Raw genomic sequence first — 19,226 nt, forward strand, 5'->3', positions numbered from 1 at the left:
TTTGAACCAGAGCAACTCCATCTTGAACAGGGGCTGGGTAAAATGAGGCTGAGACTTACCAGGCTGCATTCCCAGACAGTTAAGGCATTCTAAGTCACAGGATGAGATAGGAGGTCAGCACAAAATACAGGTCATAAAGACCTTGCCGATAAAACAGATTGCAGTAAAGAAGCCGGCTAAAACCCACCAAAACCAAGGTGGCCACGAGGGTGACCTCTGGTCGCCCTCACTGCTACACTCCCATCAGCACCATGACAGTTTACAAATGCCATGGCAACGTCAGGAAGTTACCCTATATGGTCTGAAAGGGGGAGGCATCAATAATCCACTCCTTGTTTAGCATATCATCAAGAAATAACCATAAAAATCGGCAAACAGCAGCCCTCAGGGCTGCTCTGTCTTTGGAGTAGCCATTCTTTATTCTTTTACTTTCCTAATAAACTTGCTTTCACTATAGGGATTTGCCCTGAATGCTTTCTTGCACAAGATCCAAGAACCCTATCTTGGGGTGTGGATTGGGACCCCTTTCCAGTAACACTATTATGATAATCTATCCATCAGTAAGAGAGAGAGAGAGAAATAGAGACAGAGAGAGAGACTTGTTCAGTGTTTGTCGTAGTTCAGCACAGTCATTAAGTGTGTAGGTTTTGGAATCAGAGAAACCTGGGCTTACATCCCCGCTCTTTGATCTCTATCACTTTCCATTTGTCCAATTACTGTTTTAAGCCTCAGTATATTTATCTATAAAATGGGTATAATAATGGTAACTATAGACTAGAACTGGATCCTGAGAATTGAATGCCAGTAATGTATGTGAGTGACACAGACATCATTTCTCTGAGGAAATCCCTTCATGTCCTGGGAGGTGATGACTCTTGGGCATGGGTTATTGGAAATCAGGGTTTACAATCCCACTCAGCACTTGTATTGTCTTCTTTATCTCTTCCAAGTATCTTAACATCCCATTTTCTAAGGGACCTAATTTTTTTTTAATTGATAGACTACAGCAGACTAAGATCACTTAGGAAAACTTGCCTTCAGTATCAGCTTGATTTTATTACATGATCTTCTTTACATACCTGGTCCTGTGGTCCAGTGCTATAAAGAAAACAATGGTCGATGACGTTTGGTTGGGCAGGCCTATCCATTTATATATTTGGAACCTAGGTGATGAGGGGGCTGCAGAGATAAATGAGTAAGCTGCACTTTTGCAAGGGAGGGTGGGTCTCTGAAAGCTCTCCTAAGGTTCAAATACTGATGGCCCGAGGCTGTTGATCTTATCTAGTTCAGGAGATGTTTTTCCATAAAGTAAATCATGATTCACTGCATGAATTCCTATGCACTGAATATTGTAGAAAGAACTGATGACCCTGAAAAACTGGAAATGTTAACCCTCTTCCTAGATGGGCTAGGTGTCATCCTGCCAAGAGACAGAGAAGGAGATTCTAAGTCAAGAAAAAGCTCATTAAGTACAGATATTTCCTCATGTTGTGCATGGAGACCTTGAATCACAGTCAGACCAGCCCTAACATTTGCAGAGCTGCAGAGGGTGAGGGTATGAATGGAGGCCTAGACATCAAATGCTTATATTTAAATAAACTTTGTTCCATCCTTGTACCTTGGCAAATATACCTTCAAAGCAATAAAATTAGTGGGGCAGGGGGAGTGAAATCTATGCCTTATACATGACTGAAAGTTGGTAAAAATATAAATAACTGGATTTCATAATTATTTCAACCCTGCAGGAGTTTTGTTAATGGGCTGACATGTTTGAATGAGTAATAAAGACATACACAGTTCATGTAAAACTTGAGCATTTATCTAATTACTGTGTATCCAGCATTGAGTTCAGAATCAAAGAAATAGAAGACCTGGTCTATTTCTGAGTTAAGGAGACAGGACATAAAAAGGTGAAATTATTAGGGGATAAAATTATTACATACATATCAGCATTGATTCTATTAAAATAAAGTGCTAAGTGGTGCATTACTGGCAATGAAAGGCTAAGGCCACCCAAGATAAGGTGCTAATTAGATGGCAAAGCCGAGAAAGGCAGACAGTGCTGGGAAAGGTTAAATAGTATCACATCCCACCCCAGAAGTCATGTGTGAATTTGATGAGTCACAGAACCAATGGGCTTGTCCAGCCCTCACCAGCATCCATGACTCAGGGTCACCTCGACATCCTTTACTTATCTCCCATATGTCATAACTTTCAAGGTGGAACAAAAACTTGGCTTTGTTGTGAATAATGGAAAGGAGGAGAAAAGGCAATCACTGTAGCCGGTGATGAAAATAGTGGAAAAATGAGGAGGTAGAAGAAAAGAACTGGGGACTCCTAACAAAAAAAAAAAAAAAAAACCCAAAACAATAGTTTTTGAAATGACTTTAATCTTACTGATCTAGAATGAAGGGTTTTAAAGGATCACATATTGTATTGTAGACTTCCTTGCACTCGGCCGCATACCCTCTTGACCCACCTTTCCACCCCAGCTGTTGCCACAGCAACCAGGTGGCATGCACGTGGAGCCTGATAGTGTCTGCTTCAGGGACACTGCGCTCCCCTTGCCTCTTCCCCCGGGGCTCCTCTGCTTCTACATGGAGGGCAGGGGGTGCCTGGGGGAAACCACTCAGCTTTTCCAACTCACTTGCAAACTTAGAAGTGTGAGGAATAAACAGCCCACGGCAAACTTTCTGCAGTGGGGAGTGGGAGCCAGTGGATGGTTTCTGAGGTGGCTTCTACATTACTAGAGGGTCCAAGAGGGGTCAGAGTCCTGGTCCCCCACAGCGAGGGCCAGCTTGAAAATATCCCCTTGAACTGGCTTGTCCTCACTTCCCTACCTTCCACTCCTGTTCCTCAGGACTGCTTCCCAAAATAAGCCCCCTGCTCACAACCCCTTGTCTCACTTCTGCTTTTAGGGGGAACTCAGGCCCTTATAAATTTTAGTTATCTATTTTTGTACTCTTTGGAAAGCTGTGTTCTATCTACATGTGTATTTCAAGACTTGGGCAGTTGAGAAATTCTTGTACCTACTTTACCCGTTCATTTAAAAAACATTTATAGGGCAACTACTATGTGCTTGGAGTTGTCCCATCAGCAAGGGTTAGAGAGATCATATGTAGAGTTTTCAGAAGCCTGCTACCCAATAGTAAAAGCTACCATCTGTCACAAACTTACAGGATGGCAGGACCTGCTCTAAGTGCTTTGTAATCCTTGCCTCACTTGATCCTCACGAGAGCTGTATGAGGATACCCTCAGCAGCCCTGCATTATTATTCTCATCTTTACAGGTGAGGAAGCCACGATTTAGAGACAGTTGGGAACTCCAGGTAAAAGCTGGCCAGAGAAGGGCAGAGTTTGAACCAGGCCGTGGTCTTCACCATCACACTGTGTAGAGAGTATGTTCCAGATACAAAAGGAGGATGGAGAACGGGTCCTAGGGGTAGAAGTCCTAGCTGTCTGCCCAGGGGGGCTGCTCTCACAGCTCTGAGTCAGTGGCATCTCCACCCTGCCTTGCCCACAGAAATTCACAAAACAGCAGGCAAACCAAAGCAGAAGGAAGGATTGGCAGGGTACTGTGGAGTTGGGGCAGTTCAGCACAGCCAATGCCCTTTTTTGTTAAGGAAACAGGATGTTTCCTATGGTGAGGGATGTGATCCTAATGAATCAGGGGGAGCACACATCCCTACTGACCTGCCAGCCACCTCTCCCAGGGCCTCTGTTTCTTTCTCCCCCAAGCCCTGCCTCTGAATTGCTGGAGTTTGGAGAGGCTTAAGTAGGTAATGAGCAGGAACTTGGAAGGTGAGTGATATAGTGGCTGGTCTGGTCTGGACTTGGATGTGGAGTAGGGATAAGAAGGACCTCTCTTCTGCGTGTAGGTGCATGAGGAGCATGACTTCTTCCTCTCCTGCATCTTAGAGGGATCATCAAGCCTTCATTAGAATCAGCCAGCATCCTTCTAGGCATCACAAGAAGCTGTCGTTTATGGCTTCGAAGGGAGCTGCTATCTTGATCAAGGACCAGTGCTGAGAATATGGTGTGTATCCCCTGAGGATGAGTTCTCTGCTTTCCTGGTAAATTGATCATTGATCAAAACCAAGGCATATAGAAAACTACAGGTTATATTTTTAAACAACCTTGGTTGCATTCATTCCTAGATAATAAATAGTTTCTCCCAGGGCACTGTGGGATGTGAATGCCATGACTTTCACTTGGGCCTGAAAACTCTTCACCACAGCAGGTGGTGTGGGAACCAGGCAGCACATGCCTGGCACAGAGTTAGCAAAAGGCAGGTCCTTACTCTCACCCTTTAAATCCTCCCCATTTCTCTCCTCTGATACTTCCCCTCCTTATACTTCCTTCTGTCCTAACTCTGTAGATTTGCACTGCCTTTTTTCCACCTCTGCTTCTTTTTAGTCTTTGCTTTCTTCCCTAATCTGTCCCAAAGCTAGTTCAGGAAAATTAGGACCTTCCACAAAATGATTCATATTGAGTGTAAATAGTCAATAGTGTATTTTTTAAAGAAGGCTTTCGGCCAAAAGAATACTTCTTTGTAGGTGAAATATGATATTTCATACATTAATTATGAACTGAGGGGCCACCTGTTAGGTTAAATCCCTTGTACCTTATAGCAGTCAGGATAGTCTTGGCTATGCAGCAGTAACAAACAGCCTCATACCTTAGTGACTTAAAGCAGCAAAGTTTTATTTTTTACTCATACTACACAACCATGGTGTCATCTGGTGGCTCTGCTCTGTGCTGTCATTGATCTCACTCTGTGATTCAGGCTGCTGCTCTCTGGAGCATTACAAGTGACTACACCACTAGCACTCATATTCCATCGGCCCAAACCAAGTTGCTGGGCCAGCTGAACTTTATTGGGGTGGGGAACTGTACTGCTCCTTCAGGAAGGGGAAATAGATATTGTTGAACTGTGATATGACCTACCAGATATTCCTATGCCTGGGACTAACCTCCTCTGCCTGGGTCCAACATCATTCATGAGCCTTGGCTCTAGTGCATACCCTCAGCAGCCCTGCAGGCTCTGGCTCAGCGTCCACGGTAGGAGTTCTGCTAAGAGAAAAGCGAGGCAGGTTTAGAGAAAGTGATGGTGCAGAAGTGACCTGCATCTGCCTCCATTTACTCTGCTCAGCTAGGAGCAGCTCTGCTAACCCAGGGAGAGGTTTCCACTACAACACCATCTCTCTTTACCTGTAAAAGATAGCCATTAGCTGCAACTCAAGGAATTAGTTTTCTAAAGATAAACCATTGATGGGAGAGGGCGAGTGGCCTGATATTGAAGGTAATGGAGTCACAGTTGGGAGACAACCCAGTGGCCAACTTTGTAGCTGATTGCTTTCACCGAGTCTTGCTTTCTGTCCCTCTCTCCCTCCATTCATGATTTATTGAGCACTCTCTCTGAGTGGGTCACTGTGCTAAGCTGGGGTAATAAATTCAACTGAGATGTGGTCTCTGACTTTAAGGATCTCACAGTCAGCCGGGCACGGTGCTCACGCCTATAATCCCAGCACTTTGAGTGGGCAAGGGAGACTAATCACTTGAGGTCAGGAGTTCAAGACCAGCCTGGTCAACATGGCGAAACCCCATCTCTACTAAAAATACAAAAAAATAGCTGGGCCTGGTGGCACACAACTGAAATCCCAGCTACTTGGGAGGCTGAGGTACGAGAATTGCTTGAACCCAGGAGGTGGAGGTTGGAGTGAGCCAAGATCACGCCACTGCACTCCAACTGGGCAATAAAGCAGGACTCTGTCTCAGGAAAAAAAAAATAATCAAAGATCTCATAGTCTAATGACCACAAAAAGTATACGATTTCATAAGGTGTTAGATATTTACTTATTTTGCAATGGGTAAATGAGGCATTATTCTAAATTTGTTATTAAGGCTCCAGGATGGGCCCACTCTTATTTGTACAGCATCTTTTTTGTTTTGTTTTGTTTTTGAGATGGAGTCTTGCTCTGTCGCCCAGGCTGGAGTGCAGTGGGGCGATCTTGGTTCACTGCAACCTCCGCCTCCTGGGTTCAAGCGATTCTGTTGCCTCAGCCTCCTGCCTGAGTAGCTGGAATTACAGGCGTCTGCCACCACGCCCGGCTAATTTTTGTATTTTTAGTAGAGACGGGGTTTCACCATGTTGGCCAGGCTGGTCTCAAACTCCTCACCTCAAGTGATCTGCCCATCTTAGCCTCCCAAAGTGCTGGGATTACAGGCATGAGCCACTGTGCTCGGCCTGTAGAGTATCATTTTTATGACTAATAATAATACTATATGCACGTATGAGCCTTCATAGCACATGGGGTCTTTTTCACTTCAGTTGTCTAAATTGGCCTGCCCCAATCTTCTGGGCTTTGTAGTACAATTAGGACAATCTTAATTTTGTGGCTAGGTAAACAAAATACAAGAGAAGTGGCCTGCTCAAGGTCATGGTGGTTGGTTCTGACAAAGTTTGAGCTCATATAGGTAAAGGAATCTGAGGCCCTGGTGGAAACTTCGTTGTTCAATCTCAATGTGAACCTTCAGAGTGACATCACCGTCCCCACCCAGCCTGAGTCTTTATTTAGGAGAAGGGAAGAACATCTCCTTCCTATTCCTGAACTATACTTTTCTTGTAAGCCTGATCTACTGAGAAAAAAAAAAAAAAAAACAAAAAAAAACACCCACCACTCTTTTTGATTTCAATCCATTTGGTTTGTTCCAGGTCTTGAGGCCAGGGAGTTCGGTTTGCCCTCACAGCTGCCCCGTCCATTCCCACAGTCACCCCACACTGTACATCGTCCTGTGGCCATGCTGATGGTGCCTCCAGAGGCCGTGGCTTCTCCATCTCAGGCTGAGGAATGCTCTCTCCTCAGGAGCTCCCTCGTATCTCAGAAGAAATTGCCTCTGGAAGGTGGGACAGTGCTGAGAGCAAGGCCAGGAAGGACCCCTGTGGACACTCCCCAGGCCACTTCCTGACCCTTCTGTCTGTGCCCTCCAGGGGTCCCATCCTGGGTGAAATCTCCCCATGCTCATCTCAGGGTGTGAAGGCTGGAGGGGCCTATGGGTGGGTGGGTGGGTGGGTGGGGGCATTAGGGAGGTGGGAGGGTGGGATTTGCCTGAAGTTTCATCAGCAGTCGGTGCCCTCAGCATCTGCCTCACCCCTCCCCCTTGCCTCCACCCTGCACTCCTCCTTCCTTTCTTGCTTCCCTCCTCAGTCTTCCCCTTTCCACGTTTCTGCCTCCTGATCTTTATCCTGCTTCTGTCCTGATTCCCTTCTCTCATGGCTTTCCCTTTGAATAAGAAGGATGCTGGAATATTCATGGAGTCATCCAGCCCAGCCTCCTCTACCTGATGACCTGAGGCTTAAAATGTGGACAGATCTGCCCAAGGTGGCCAGCTGAGCCAACAGCAGAAACTGCAGAGGTCCTGGTGCCCAGGCCAGGGCTCTCTGTGTCATGCCAGCTGCACTGGCTCCCCGCCCCCACCTCTGAGCGGCGTGGGTGTTAGATGGGTGTGCAAGGCAGGCAGTGGCATGGGCTCCTTCACTCTGGCCCTCCTCACTGCCACCCTTTTCATTCTCTTTTTCTCCCTAACCCACTCTACCCAAGGAACACAGTTGGATTCAAGATCTTCACTCTCTATCAACATACCGGGGGAGTTGGGGGCTGAGAGAATCATTGATCATGAAGGTGTCGCTTGCCAGGAAGACCTGAAGCAGAGATGGCAATGCTTGTGTCATCCCCAGAGCCAACTCTAATGGGCAAGTAGCAAGTTCCTGGAGGGCTGCGTTGAGAGGGATTCCGGGACTGACTGGGCTGCCTAGGAAAGCGTTGTCTCCTGACAGCACTGACTAGTAACATGCTTACTCTCCCTGGCTTGAAGTGTTGCCACCTCGGGATGGCTGCCTTGCAACCGAGAAGAGAGTCTTAAGTAGAAGGATGCATCTCTGGTGGTTGAGTTTAGATGTCACACAACTGCAGAGAGAAGGTGCCAGCCATGTGTCTGCATGCTGGAAGCTGTTGCCATCTTATAGCCAGCCTTCTCCCCCAGCCCCTCCTAGCCAGTCACATAAAGAAGCACCCAAAATCCCAAACTGCATTTTTATTATTTTTTAATAAACTTTATTCTATATTACAAATAAGTTTTTTTTGTTCTGAACTGCAAAATAGGAATGCCTTATATTTACATACACAGGTATACAATTAATTATAACAAAGGTACAGAAGCTTGCCTTTACCAAGTTACAACTGGGCTCCAATTTAAATAGCACAGGTTTCCTTTTTAAAAACTTTTTAATTTTTTTTTAATATTTTACTAGGATACTCTTCTTTAAAAATCAAAACCAGAAGACCCTCTTCTTAGAGATCTCATCCACATACATTTGAGGCTCATTTTAACACTGTTGTCTAAAGATATGCTTTGCTTTGTTCTAACAAAGGGTCAATGTTCGAGGTGGGAGCTTTAGTTTGAAACAGAAGTGGGATGGGGCTGGAAGGGGGTGACTGGAACAGAGATAACCTGCCCTACCTCCTTCAACGGCTTCTCTATGTGACTCAAAGACCCCTGCCGGTTCCTTAAACCACCCTTCCATCCTGTTTCTCCCCTTCTCTAGCATTTGAAGCTCAACTCTGGGTCCTCTGGCTGGGCCAAAACCCCTGCATCATCCCCACACGTCGGCTCGCTGAGCCATTGTCTGTTGTGGTACCCTGGAGTTGCTGGTTGCTATGGTAACTCAGCAGGACCCTGCTGGAAGAGATGGGCTGGCCCCTACATGCTAAAGTGGGGAGGAGGGCAGTGGCATCCAATCCTTCCTTCCCACCTCAGGGCCTGGAGGCCTTGTTCCTGCTCAAAGCAGCCAACACACGACTAAGCAAAGACCGTATGTCTCAAGGACACCAGGCCAAGGTAGGGAGTGGTGAGGGGAGGGCTGTCCATTCTAAAACACAAAATCGTTGGTTTCCGAATGGAAACAAGATTCTTTGAGGTAAGCTAGCTTTTCATTTTAAGAACAGAAGGTTTAACAAGTCAACAAGCTAACTAGAACGTCGGGGAGGGAGAGGAAAGGAGGACAGACAGATGAGCACGTGTATCCCATCTTCGTCCTGTGCCTGGATTGCGGCTGACTTCTGTGCACGAAAGTGTTCCTTAGTCCTGTTTGGTGAAGTGGTCTCGGTTTCTTAAGCGTCCTTTGGGTTGCTCTTTAACTGTATCCTCTGTTTTAAATTCTACTTTTGTAAGGGAGCCCTTCCAAAATGTGCTTGAGTCAAAAGATCAAAGATACTAACAAAGGAAGTTCTAATTCCAAATAAAGAAATTGCTGGAAGAAGAGCTGCATAGACCAAGTCTACTTGCTTTTGCAATCCTGGCGGAGGGAAAGCTTGGGTCTTCCCATGACCCATCCCTCACAGAGCCTCCTTAAAGTTTGAGGAAAGCTGATAAGAGATGTGTAGGATTCGGCAGTACCAGGGGCAGCCCAGAGAGCCAAGCATAGACATCAAAGCGGGTGGGAATGGAATAAAGTGAGGCTCCCGCAACCCAGGATTTTCAGCCTACCTGAATCACCTCACTACCTCTGCCAATACAAACAGAAAGTTCTTTTTGTATATGAAGGATTTTGTTTCGTTTTGTTTAACTTTGCTTTGCTTTCTGGTAGGCACCAGTCTACTCAAGGAATTTAATCGGGATCCTAATGAGTATGTATTTCTCTTACAACCAAAAAATTCTATATACTTTTAAAACTTGGATACTCCCTCTAATAAAATAATTTTATGGGGGAGCAAAAATTTGTAGTAAAAAAAAAAAAACTCTCTCTTGCATGTCTGAAACTTTTACTGCAGTGGATTACTTTCCAAATGAGAGGAGTGGTCATTTAGGTTTCCTGTCAAGAGCATGCCACCCTTAGCACCATGAGGAGAGGTTTGCAGAGTGTCCCAGCCTCATTCGGGAGCTGTGTCAGTGTTACCTGAGGCTGTGTCTCAGCTCCCCACTCTATAAAATAAGGCTCTTGTTTCCTACATAGAGAATGCCTGTAGGGTGAGGTGGCAGGAGGCGGTAGGAGAAGGACTCCATCTGTCAAAAGTGTGGGGAAGCACCAGGAATAGCAGCAGCCATGTGAGATGCCACCCCTAGCATTGTCCTCATCCAGGGAATGTCCTGACCCATTTTTTTTTTTCAATGGGGGAGGCTCCTCCTGTCCTCTGAACCTCTCCTCATCCCCTTGGAAGTCATAGGTTTTGCTCCCACTAACCGAGTAATTTGGACTTAACATCCATAGCAGGGCTCCCTTCTTACTTTCGAACTATTAAGATATACAAACAAAAACCAAACAACTCCAAAATCCCAAATAAATGGCCCACAGTTTTGTTTTGTTTTGTTTTTTTTAAAGGAAGAGGCTGAGGGTTCAAGGCCTCCCAGTCACCTGTCCTGAGAGCTGGCAGGAAGAGGGGAAGAGGCCCTTGATGTAGACGAGGACCAGGAGGGATGGCGGGGGGGGATTTGGGGCATGGGGAGAAGCCAGGGCACGGAGCTGCCTGGGGTAGGTCTTCTCTGGGGGTCAGGTGAGCTCCTGGAGGTGACTCAGTCATGGAAAGACCCCTTGAAGGCCTTGAAGAGCTGGCTGGGGCTGCTCACTGGGCTCACTGTTCCTGGAAGGAGCAGGGGAAGTTCCCGGAGAGGGGCTTCTCTGGGCCTTGTGCCTGCAGAGCACCTTCCTACCTATGTCTGTCTGTCTTTCCCTCACTGCTTGGCTGTCTGTGAGGTGGGAGGTTTGTCCTTGACTGATAACAATACTGGCCCTTTGCTCGGTTAAGTATTTGACTTCACATTACTGTGTCCCCTTGGTCCTGGGAAAGAAGACAGATGGAAATTGAGCTTTTCTTTTTAGGTCACAGAGGGTGGTGCTGAGACCTGGGCCCATCACAGCATCGTTCACGGCTCTGGAAACAGTGGTAAGGATTCTTCTTGCAGTGGAGGTCATTTGGGAAGTCATTGCTTGTGGATCCTCGGATGGGGACCCATAGGGCCTTGGCTAGACGAGGGAGCTCCTACAGCCAGGAAGGCAGCTTTGGGTGGGGTAGGATGGGGCTGGGGCAGTCACAGAGGGCTGGGCTGAGAGGTCTGAGCAGCTCCTGTACTCAAGTGGATAAATCGCCCTGGGACAGAGGCTATGTGTGCAGGAGAGACACGGTGGAATGAGGAGGGACAGGGAGGATGCTCGTGGCAGGAGGAGCACAGGCAGAAGCCAGACATGCAACGGGAGACACGGTACCAGGGACCTGGTTGCATGGGGGAGGTGGAGATGCTGGGCCAGTACATCAACCTTCACTGCTGGTGGGCGCAGGTAGCTGGGCCTGAGGGGACCAGGTCAGAGACTTTTCCTGTGGGTAACTCCTGCTTCTTCCTGGGAACAGTCCTGGACAGTCTGCCTCAAACTTTGGGATTTATTTAAAATAACTTCTCTTTCACTTGTAGCTCCTCACAAGCAGCCAAGCTCACTTACCAGGCTGCGGGTGCACAAGGGGTAGGCTTTAGGGGCTGGCTTTGGGTGCAGGGATCATGCTGCCATTGGAATGTACCTTGGCCTGTGGGACACTTGGGTTATCCACTGTTCCCAAATTTAAAACCATACTGAAAGAAGAAGGCAAGAAAATATTTTCCTGAGGAAGTAACTGGCATGATGGCCACCTTCACTTAGTGGCACTATTTGCAGCTACCAAGAAATGTCAGGGTCTCTCCTTATGGGGAAGGACAAAGAATGGGTAAAAGCTGCATCTGGGGGGACTTGTGGCCAGGAGAAATGACCAGCCTACCACTCTGTTTCTTGTCTTCCTCTACTTATTCCTTAAAATTTAGGACCCCACAAAGCCCCCTTCTTCCCTGCTACCTTAAGCCCTTCTCTCTCCAACATGCAAAAAAAATTCCCACCTAAACTTTGTCAGTGATTTTGATGGCTCAGTCTGGTACCATTTTCCCTGGGAGGGTACGGGATAAGTTGGAGGGGAAGGTAAGGAAGATGGCCTTTTCTCTCCTTCTGTCTGCTCATGACTCAACATAATGGTGACCCTACAAATTAACTTTGCCTCGAGGGAGGCCGTGAAGGGGCCTCCATCCCACAGGACAAAGTTGGCCCAATTCCTTTCTCTGGGAGCCCGCAAGCCACATGGACAGCCCCTGGATGTTTGCTCTGCCAGTGGGGTAAGGAAGATCCCTGGGGGAGTTTGGAAAAAAGATTTGGGTGGGGGATGGGGGGCAAGGACAGCTTTTTGACAATGTTGCTTGTCTTTGCTTTTAAATACCATATCACACGTGCACCAAGAATCCAAACGGAAGAAATGGAAAACAAACAGCAGAAGATAATTTTTATAAGCAAGATGGGCTGTGGCTCTGGATACCTGGCTCAAATTTCTCAGTCCCCAAGCAGGCCACGGGGACTGCAGCAAACAGAGCGGCAGAAACAACCCACCCACCAATTAAAGTCAAACCAGCCCCAAACCCCTCCCCCAGGAGAAATGGGGACAGCCAGAAAATTTGTCTGTCCTTGTCTCCTCTTTCTTCCTAACCTTTCTATTTCTCTGAGGTGTTTGAAATTTTTCTTATAACAAAAACATGGAATAAAATAAAGTCCTGTACCGCCAAAGTAACAATAACAATAATCATCATCCAGTAAAAAATAAAAGCTTCAGCAGAACCGTGATAAGTCTTTTTTCTTTTTTTTTTCTGCTTGTTTGATTTTTTCTCTTAACTGTGCAAAAAAAAAAAAAAAAAATCAAAATGCACTCACTCATACACACGTTCACACACGCAGCTTCCATCCAGCAAATCTGTGTTAAATACGTTTGTGTCTCTTTCCTCCCCAACCCTTTATATGTGCAAAAATATTGTAGTGACCGAGGTACTTCCTCAGACCGTCTCCCACATGTACCCTTTCTGGCCTTCCAGGTCCTGTGACTGACTTCTTGGGAGGGAATAAAATGATCAAGGATAGAAAAGTCAAGCTTCTCCACCTGGTACTGCACTTGCCAAAACCTTTGGTTATTTATTTTTTTTCTTCCTCTTCCAATGCATTGTTTCCCATTTTCCTCTTCCCATTAGGTTGCTCATGTCTTTTCCACCATCTGTCCTCTGCGATGTCACATGATGCCCTGTTCCAAGGTCCAGGCCTCGGCAGGCGACCACCCTGATTTCCTATGGACAAGCGCCCTCTCCTTCCACCCACCAGCTCTCAGCATAGAAAGCAAGTAAGTGTTGAAATGTCCTGAAGCTGCAGGATGAATGGATGAGCAAGGGGAAAGAGAAGGGGAACACTTCAAAAATCCTCCTACAAAGGACAAGAAATCCTTTTGAGCTTTCCGCCTACACCTGGGGCAGACACACACACACACATACATGTGCTCACACACATGTGCACATATTCATATCCAAAGGGGCAAGTGTTCTTAAAAGTACCGGATGCTCCATGGACTTTGCTGGAAATGGTGTGGTTTCTTCCCCAAGGGGGGCTCATTCTGAGTGGGTGACAAGGAATGATGTCTGATGTTTGGGGAGTGAAGGCAAGACTGTGAATCCTTCTCCTCAACCTCACCTAAGATGTTTCTCCTTGTCTCCCATAGTGGTGAACAACTCCAGAGCAGAGGTGCCAACAGAGACTCCTGCTTAGGATGGGAGACTGCACCAGACAGCACCTAAGGTCTCCTTAGGATGAAAGGTTCCTAGAACCCTCCATTAGACCATCTCTCCCCATAGCCTCTGCTTACCTAGTATCAATTTCTAGGCACACATTTGCCTGCCTGGCTAAAATCGTGCATCTGTAGATGTAAGAACAGATGGGGAGATGGATGCCAAGGCCAAGGTCATTTGTATGTCCCTCTTCTTAATTCCAGCCAGGCCCATCAGCTCGACTCTTTGTCCCTCCCAGATCTGACAAGCTGGAGGCTGAGGTTGGCTGGCATTTTGGGCTGTCTCCGTGAGGCTTTGCTTAAGTCTGTTTCTTTCAAGGATGACTGCTGAAGAGATGAGGAAGGAGAATGATGAGAGACAGCTGAGATGTTGATGAAATCATTCCCAAAGAGGTCTGGACAGCCCAGTGACAAAGTCATCTGCATAGCAATGGCACCGGATTCTGCAGAGGGAACAGGGACTAGGCTGTTGGCCCCAGCCGTCTATGGAGTTCTCAGGAAGGATGATGGGGATGGAGCCATGGAGATGGCTGGAGGTAGAATCTCCTAGATGCACTCTGCATTTCACGTTGACCCTTGATGAAGGTTGACAAAGGAGGGTGGAGATAGATGCTTTCTCTTGACAGCACTCAGGGCTCTGGTAGTGGACTAGACCTATGACTATGATTGTGACTCATTTGAATTTGAGGGTAAATGGAAAACAAATTCTGCTTCCAGGGTAGATGCAACTCTCTTTCCTTTTCTCCCCCTGTGTTACATTTCTGCTACTAGGATTCAGATGAAAAGGTCAGGAGCATCTCCATGGTGGAATGTAATTGCTATTCTTTCTCCTGCCTGGCTTTCTACTGGCGGGGGAGCAGGCAGGGCAGGCAGGTCCCTCTGGAGACCTGGAAAAGGACAGGAAGCCTCTGGACACCAGCCCAGTGGGGGAGAAGGAGCCTCAAGGAGCACCTCCCAGCTGCCCACACATGCCCTGCTCCAGCCACATGCAGGAGGTGTAGCCTTTCTTCTCACAGCTGCAAAGCGATCAGACCACTGGCTGAACCACTGGAGATGGAACTGTGGGAAGGGAGAGCCAGGTGATGTCTTCCCAGTAAAGATAATACTGAAGTCCTTCCTTGCCTCTTCCCTAGGCCAAGGCTCAGACCAAAGCAGGGGCTGCCAAAGTGGAAGGTGAAGTAGCAGCACAGAAATGTCCCCTGTCCCTGGCTCCTCATTCGTTATTTGCACCCTGCTGCTGACATGCACAGGGTCAGGAGCACCTGGGAGACAGAGGCCTCTCTGACATCTTCTGGTCAGCTCCCTTGCCATGGGCCTGGCCATTCTTGGACTAACTGAGGGTCAGTGGCTTGGTCCAATCGTGTTGGCAGAGCAACTGGAAGAGAAGAGATCCAGGAAGGAGGGAGAAACGGAAAGAGGCAGAGAGAAAGAGAGAGAAACAGCGCTGCTCAGGGGATGCTGCTGATGCCAGTCGGAACTTGCACTTGGTAAAGATGATAATCTAGACTGAGGCACGGCTTGGTGTGTCCCCCTCCAGGGCGGCCCTGGAAGGACGGTTCTCAGCTGTCTAAGCTCATGAGGGTTATGACTTGTTCTAGTTTGTAGGCCAGTTTCTGCTTCCCACACTGGTCATCGTGGTCCAGAGGTCCAAGGATCTGCGGAAGGGCCAAGAACAGGGAGATTACTCATTTGTGTGTACAGGTCTGTGTTCTCAGGAGGCACAAAGATGGTGTGGATGTGGTCAGAAGCCCGGGAAGCCACAGGCATGTGCAGGGGCACACAGGACACTGCGGGGTAGGAGGAGACCTGGGGAGCATGGGCAGGAAGTTGTGGCAGGCATAGCATGTGAGCATCAGCATGGCAGTGAGCACAGGATGCCAGCACACACAGTCATGTCTGAATGACTGTGTGCATTCTACTGGCTACAAAAGATGGTAGACAGAGGGCAGAAGCTCTGCTGAAAGTGCCTGTGCCGAGATGCTGCAGTTACCTGCAGGTTAGACAGCAGCTAGTTCCATATCCGATGGAAATGCGTAGTGCTCAGCATGGAGCCGGAATGTGATTTCATGGATGTTAAGACATCCCACCCTTCCTCCCGCAGAAATAAAAATCCATCAGCTCCTTGAGGCCCCAAATTCTACATTTAGAAAGTCATTTGTTTTCACTTTGCCTGTTAAAAAACAAATGTCCCTAGAAGAGTAAGACTACAAGCTTTCCTGGTCATTAACACCTAATGGATAATGTCTACCAAAGCCTTTTCTGAAGGCAGGCAGTTAGCAGAGGACAATGACAGCCAGCAAATGTGGCCCATGATGAAAAATATGCTAGAATTTTACTCAGACTCAGGAGATGAGGGATGGAGTAAAGGCTCTGCCAGTTTCTAGCTTGGTGATCTGAGGCCAAACAGGTAACCTGTCTGAACACTCAACGTCCTCAACTGTTAATGTAGGAATGACTAATCCACCTCCAGGGGAGAGGATGTCAGATAACATCTGTGAGCACCCTCAACACAAGGCCTGCCCCCCGAGAGGCACTAGACAATTGGGTGGAACCTACTGATGTTGTAGTTTGAGGGGCAGGGAAAAGAAGGGAGGGCAAGGAGATGAGAAGGAGGCTCAAGGGAGGCGCCCAGGGCTTTGGATTTCATGACCCAGTTAATGTTTCTTTAGTTGTGGAAGCAGGATAGAGCTGGCCAAGAACTGTCATTTGTACGCGCCATCATTTCATAGATGGGTTATTTAAACACCAAGGTAGACAGGTGTACTTGTAGACTAACAGAGAATCCTTTCTGAGAGGAGACGGTTGGAATATTACACTGGTGCACACTATAGCATCCTTATTATCTTGCATTGCCGCAGGCAGGGGAAAACTCTGCCCCAGACCAATACTAACCTGCAGACTGGCATCAGGGTCCCTCCCCTAAGGGACCCAGCACTGGCTCTCCCATGATGTAAGGGCCACAGAATTAGGCTGTTCATGGCCTGCAGGACTCCAGGCCTTGGGCCTGCTGGGTCTGCTTCTTTAACTGGGGGTTCCTGGACTCTCCTTAAGTGATGAGGATGGGAGGAAATAGAGAACTCGGGGCACAAGCTTCAGCTTCTCTTACTACCGTCCACTCAGAGAAGGTGGCTATGCTGCTGCTCAGATGCAGGGAATTTGGATTCCAAGGATGGCCAGACCCATGGCAAGAGAGCTGACTAGAAGCCCAGGAAGACACAGGCCTCCTCCTACCCAGCAGTGTCGTGTGTGCCCCTGCACATGCCTGTGTCTTCCTGAGCTTCCTGGGCTGATCAGAAGATGTCTGAGGGGCCTCTCTCTCCCAGCTGCTCCTGACCCCATGCATAGGCAAGAAAACTCCCAAAGCACCATGGCACTGGCCAGAAAGAAGGCCTTGTATATAGTGGCAATGACCCCAGGTGGGATTTTCCAGTGAGGGAACAAAACAGAAAACACATTCTATTTGTTCTGTTCTGTTCTGTTCTGTTCTGTTCTGTTCTGTTCTGTTCTGTTCTGTTCTGTTCTGTTCTGTTCTGTTCTGTTCTGTTCTGCTCTGCTCTGCTCTGCTCTGCTCTATTCTTTTCTATTCTATTCTATTCTATTCTATTCTATTCTATTCTATTCTATTCTATTCTATTCTATTCTACTCCGTTCCATTCCATTCCATTCTATTCTATTCCATTCTGTTTTGACTCACTTCTGTTTCATTTCTAGTCTATTCTGTTTCTATTCTATTCTACAACATACCATATCATACCATACAATGCCATACCACATAGCCGGCCCATAGGAGTGAGGAGGTGCCTGTTTAAAGAGAGTTAGATCAGAGAAAGATGTGGAAAACATAAAAAAGAAGAAATACAGGAGAGAAAATAAGAATTAAAAAAGACAATATAAAAGAAACAGGTACTTATTTACATATCTAAGAAGCACAGGGATGAATGCAGAATTTATGGGATGGAGGGTTTCTAGCATCCCAGCCTTTGGATCACAGCCCCAGGTCCTCAGTGGTGGTTCCCCCAGCAGAGGTGGATGTGTCTGTGGCGATGATCTCTTATACGGAGGCATGCAGGGTTGTCTTCATTCTCTTCCCCCTTCCATCCCAATGGGCCTGGAGCAGGGCAAAGCTTACCTCCTCGCTGTATTTGCCCACATAGGAGAAGATCTCTGAGAGTGCACTCATGGTGTTGAACTCATTCATGTGCATCCGGGACTGCTCAGCCAGGTATGCGTTCATGTCTTGGTCGCTGATGGCTGGCATCTTCCCTATGTCTGAGTAATACCTGTGGAGGGATGGAAATAGGGAGAAGCTGAAGTCGTGCATACGGAGTAGAGGAGAGATGGATGCTCCCAGCACCGTGTCTGGGGCCATGAGCTCAGCTTGCACTGCAGGTAGTGGGTACTTGTGCTGTGGCCACCTGGGGACCACTGTGGTCTCTCTCTCATCTGGGTTGCTGGGTCCGAACCAGGAAGAGCCCTCTGCAGCTCTGGATGCAGGAGGCATAGAGGGAAGGGATTTGGGGAGTGGCCAAGACAGGAGAGGAACCGAGAGCCAGAGGGTCCCAACTCGGGCATCCTCTTTGCTCTCAGCTACCACACAGAGAGGTCTAGACTGTCTTGAGTTTCTCTAACGCCCCTCCCACAGACGCAAGGGATCTCCTCCAGCAGGGCCCGAAGGCTCTTCCGAGCGGTTGCTCTTCTCTGATGTCCTCCACTCTCTGGGGGCTAAATGGGAGGAGGCAGGGCTGAGGCTACTCAGGGAGAGACTGGTAGAAGGCAATCAGTCACTGTCACTTGCAGCTGTGCACTGCTGTCAACTGGTTAAGTAGATGCCAGCATTTACATTTTTAATTTCTGCAATTTGACATTTTATGCACCAAACCTCAACTCCCCCACCAGAGGGGGGTTGCGCAGTTTCTTAATGAGGAACTGAAAGGCCTCAGTGTCCCCAAAGACAGCCACTTCTCACCCTCTCCTATGTACTTTTGGGCTTGTGGACTGCATAAAAGAGAAGAGGTAACTGCAATGACAGGAGGGCATCATAAACCTCAAGGCCTTGTGGTGGCCCAGCTCAGCCTAGCCCAATCCAGCCCATGCCAAATCCCTGTGGCTGCCATGCTGGAGAAAGTAAACCTGAAACCTAGGATCAGAGGGGATGGGGGAGGACAGTCTGCAGGGCAGGGACTAGGGTGCATGAAGCAAGGCACCTAGGCACCAAGTTTAAGAAAAGGCACTCACTCTTGGGGTTGTGCAAGTATTGGTGACAATGACAGACCCTGGGAGTTCTCAGAACTTGAATCTTGGTCAGAGGCTCCGGGACAGTCTCCTTCTGCACCCCAGCCCTGTGTCTTTCCCAGCCCTATCCTTCACTTCTCCAACCAGGACCCTGTCTGTCTTGTGCTGTTTCCCTGACCTCTAACTGTTCCCATCAGTGCCTAGGAGGTGGGTGAAGACTGGCAGAGATGGTTTTCCTGTGCCATCTCAGTCATCAGCTCAAGGGCCTGCAATGGAATGACAGTTCAATTTGCACCAGAGCATCCCTGGGCTAGTGAGGGCTGGGATG

At 47.8% G+C, this 19,226-nt stretch overlaps 1 protein-coding gene across 5 annotated transcripts in view; it reads right to left on the reverse strand.

Annotated features, from left to right (window-relative positions):
• Window positions 1–8,086: 8,086 nt before the first annotated feature.
• PLXNA4 (plexin A4) overlaps window positions 8,087–19,226 on the reverse strand; it is a 525,349-nt gene continuing 514,209 nt past the window's right edge. For all 5 annotated transcript variants that reach the window (NM_001393897.1, XM_017012779.1, NM_020911.2 and 2 more), the window contains 2 exons: window positions 17,796–17,946; window positions 8,087–15,321 (listed from right to left, as the gene is read on the reverse strand). In NM_001393897.1, the coding sequence (NP_001380826.1) occupies window positions 15,226–15,321; window positions 17,796–17,946 (247 nt within the window). In that variant the 3' untranslated portion in view covers window positions 8,087–15,225. The remainder of the gene's footprint in view (window positions 15,322–17,795; window positions 17,947–19,226) is intronic.

Source organism: Homo sapiens, chromosome 7 (genome assembly GCF_000001405.40).
Source record: "Homo sapiens chromosome 7, GRCh38.p14 Primary Assembly".
Classification (NCBI taxonomy): domain Eukaryota; kingdom Metazoa; phylum Chordata; class Mammalia; order Primates; family Hominidae; genus Homo; species Homo sapiens.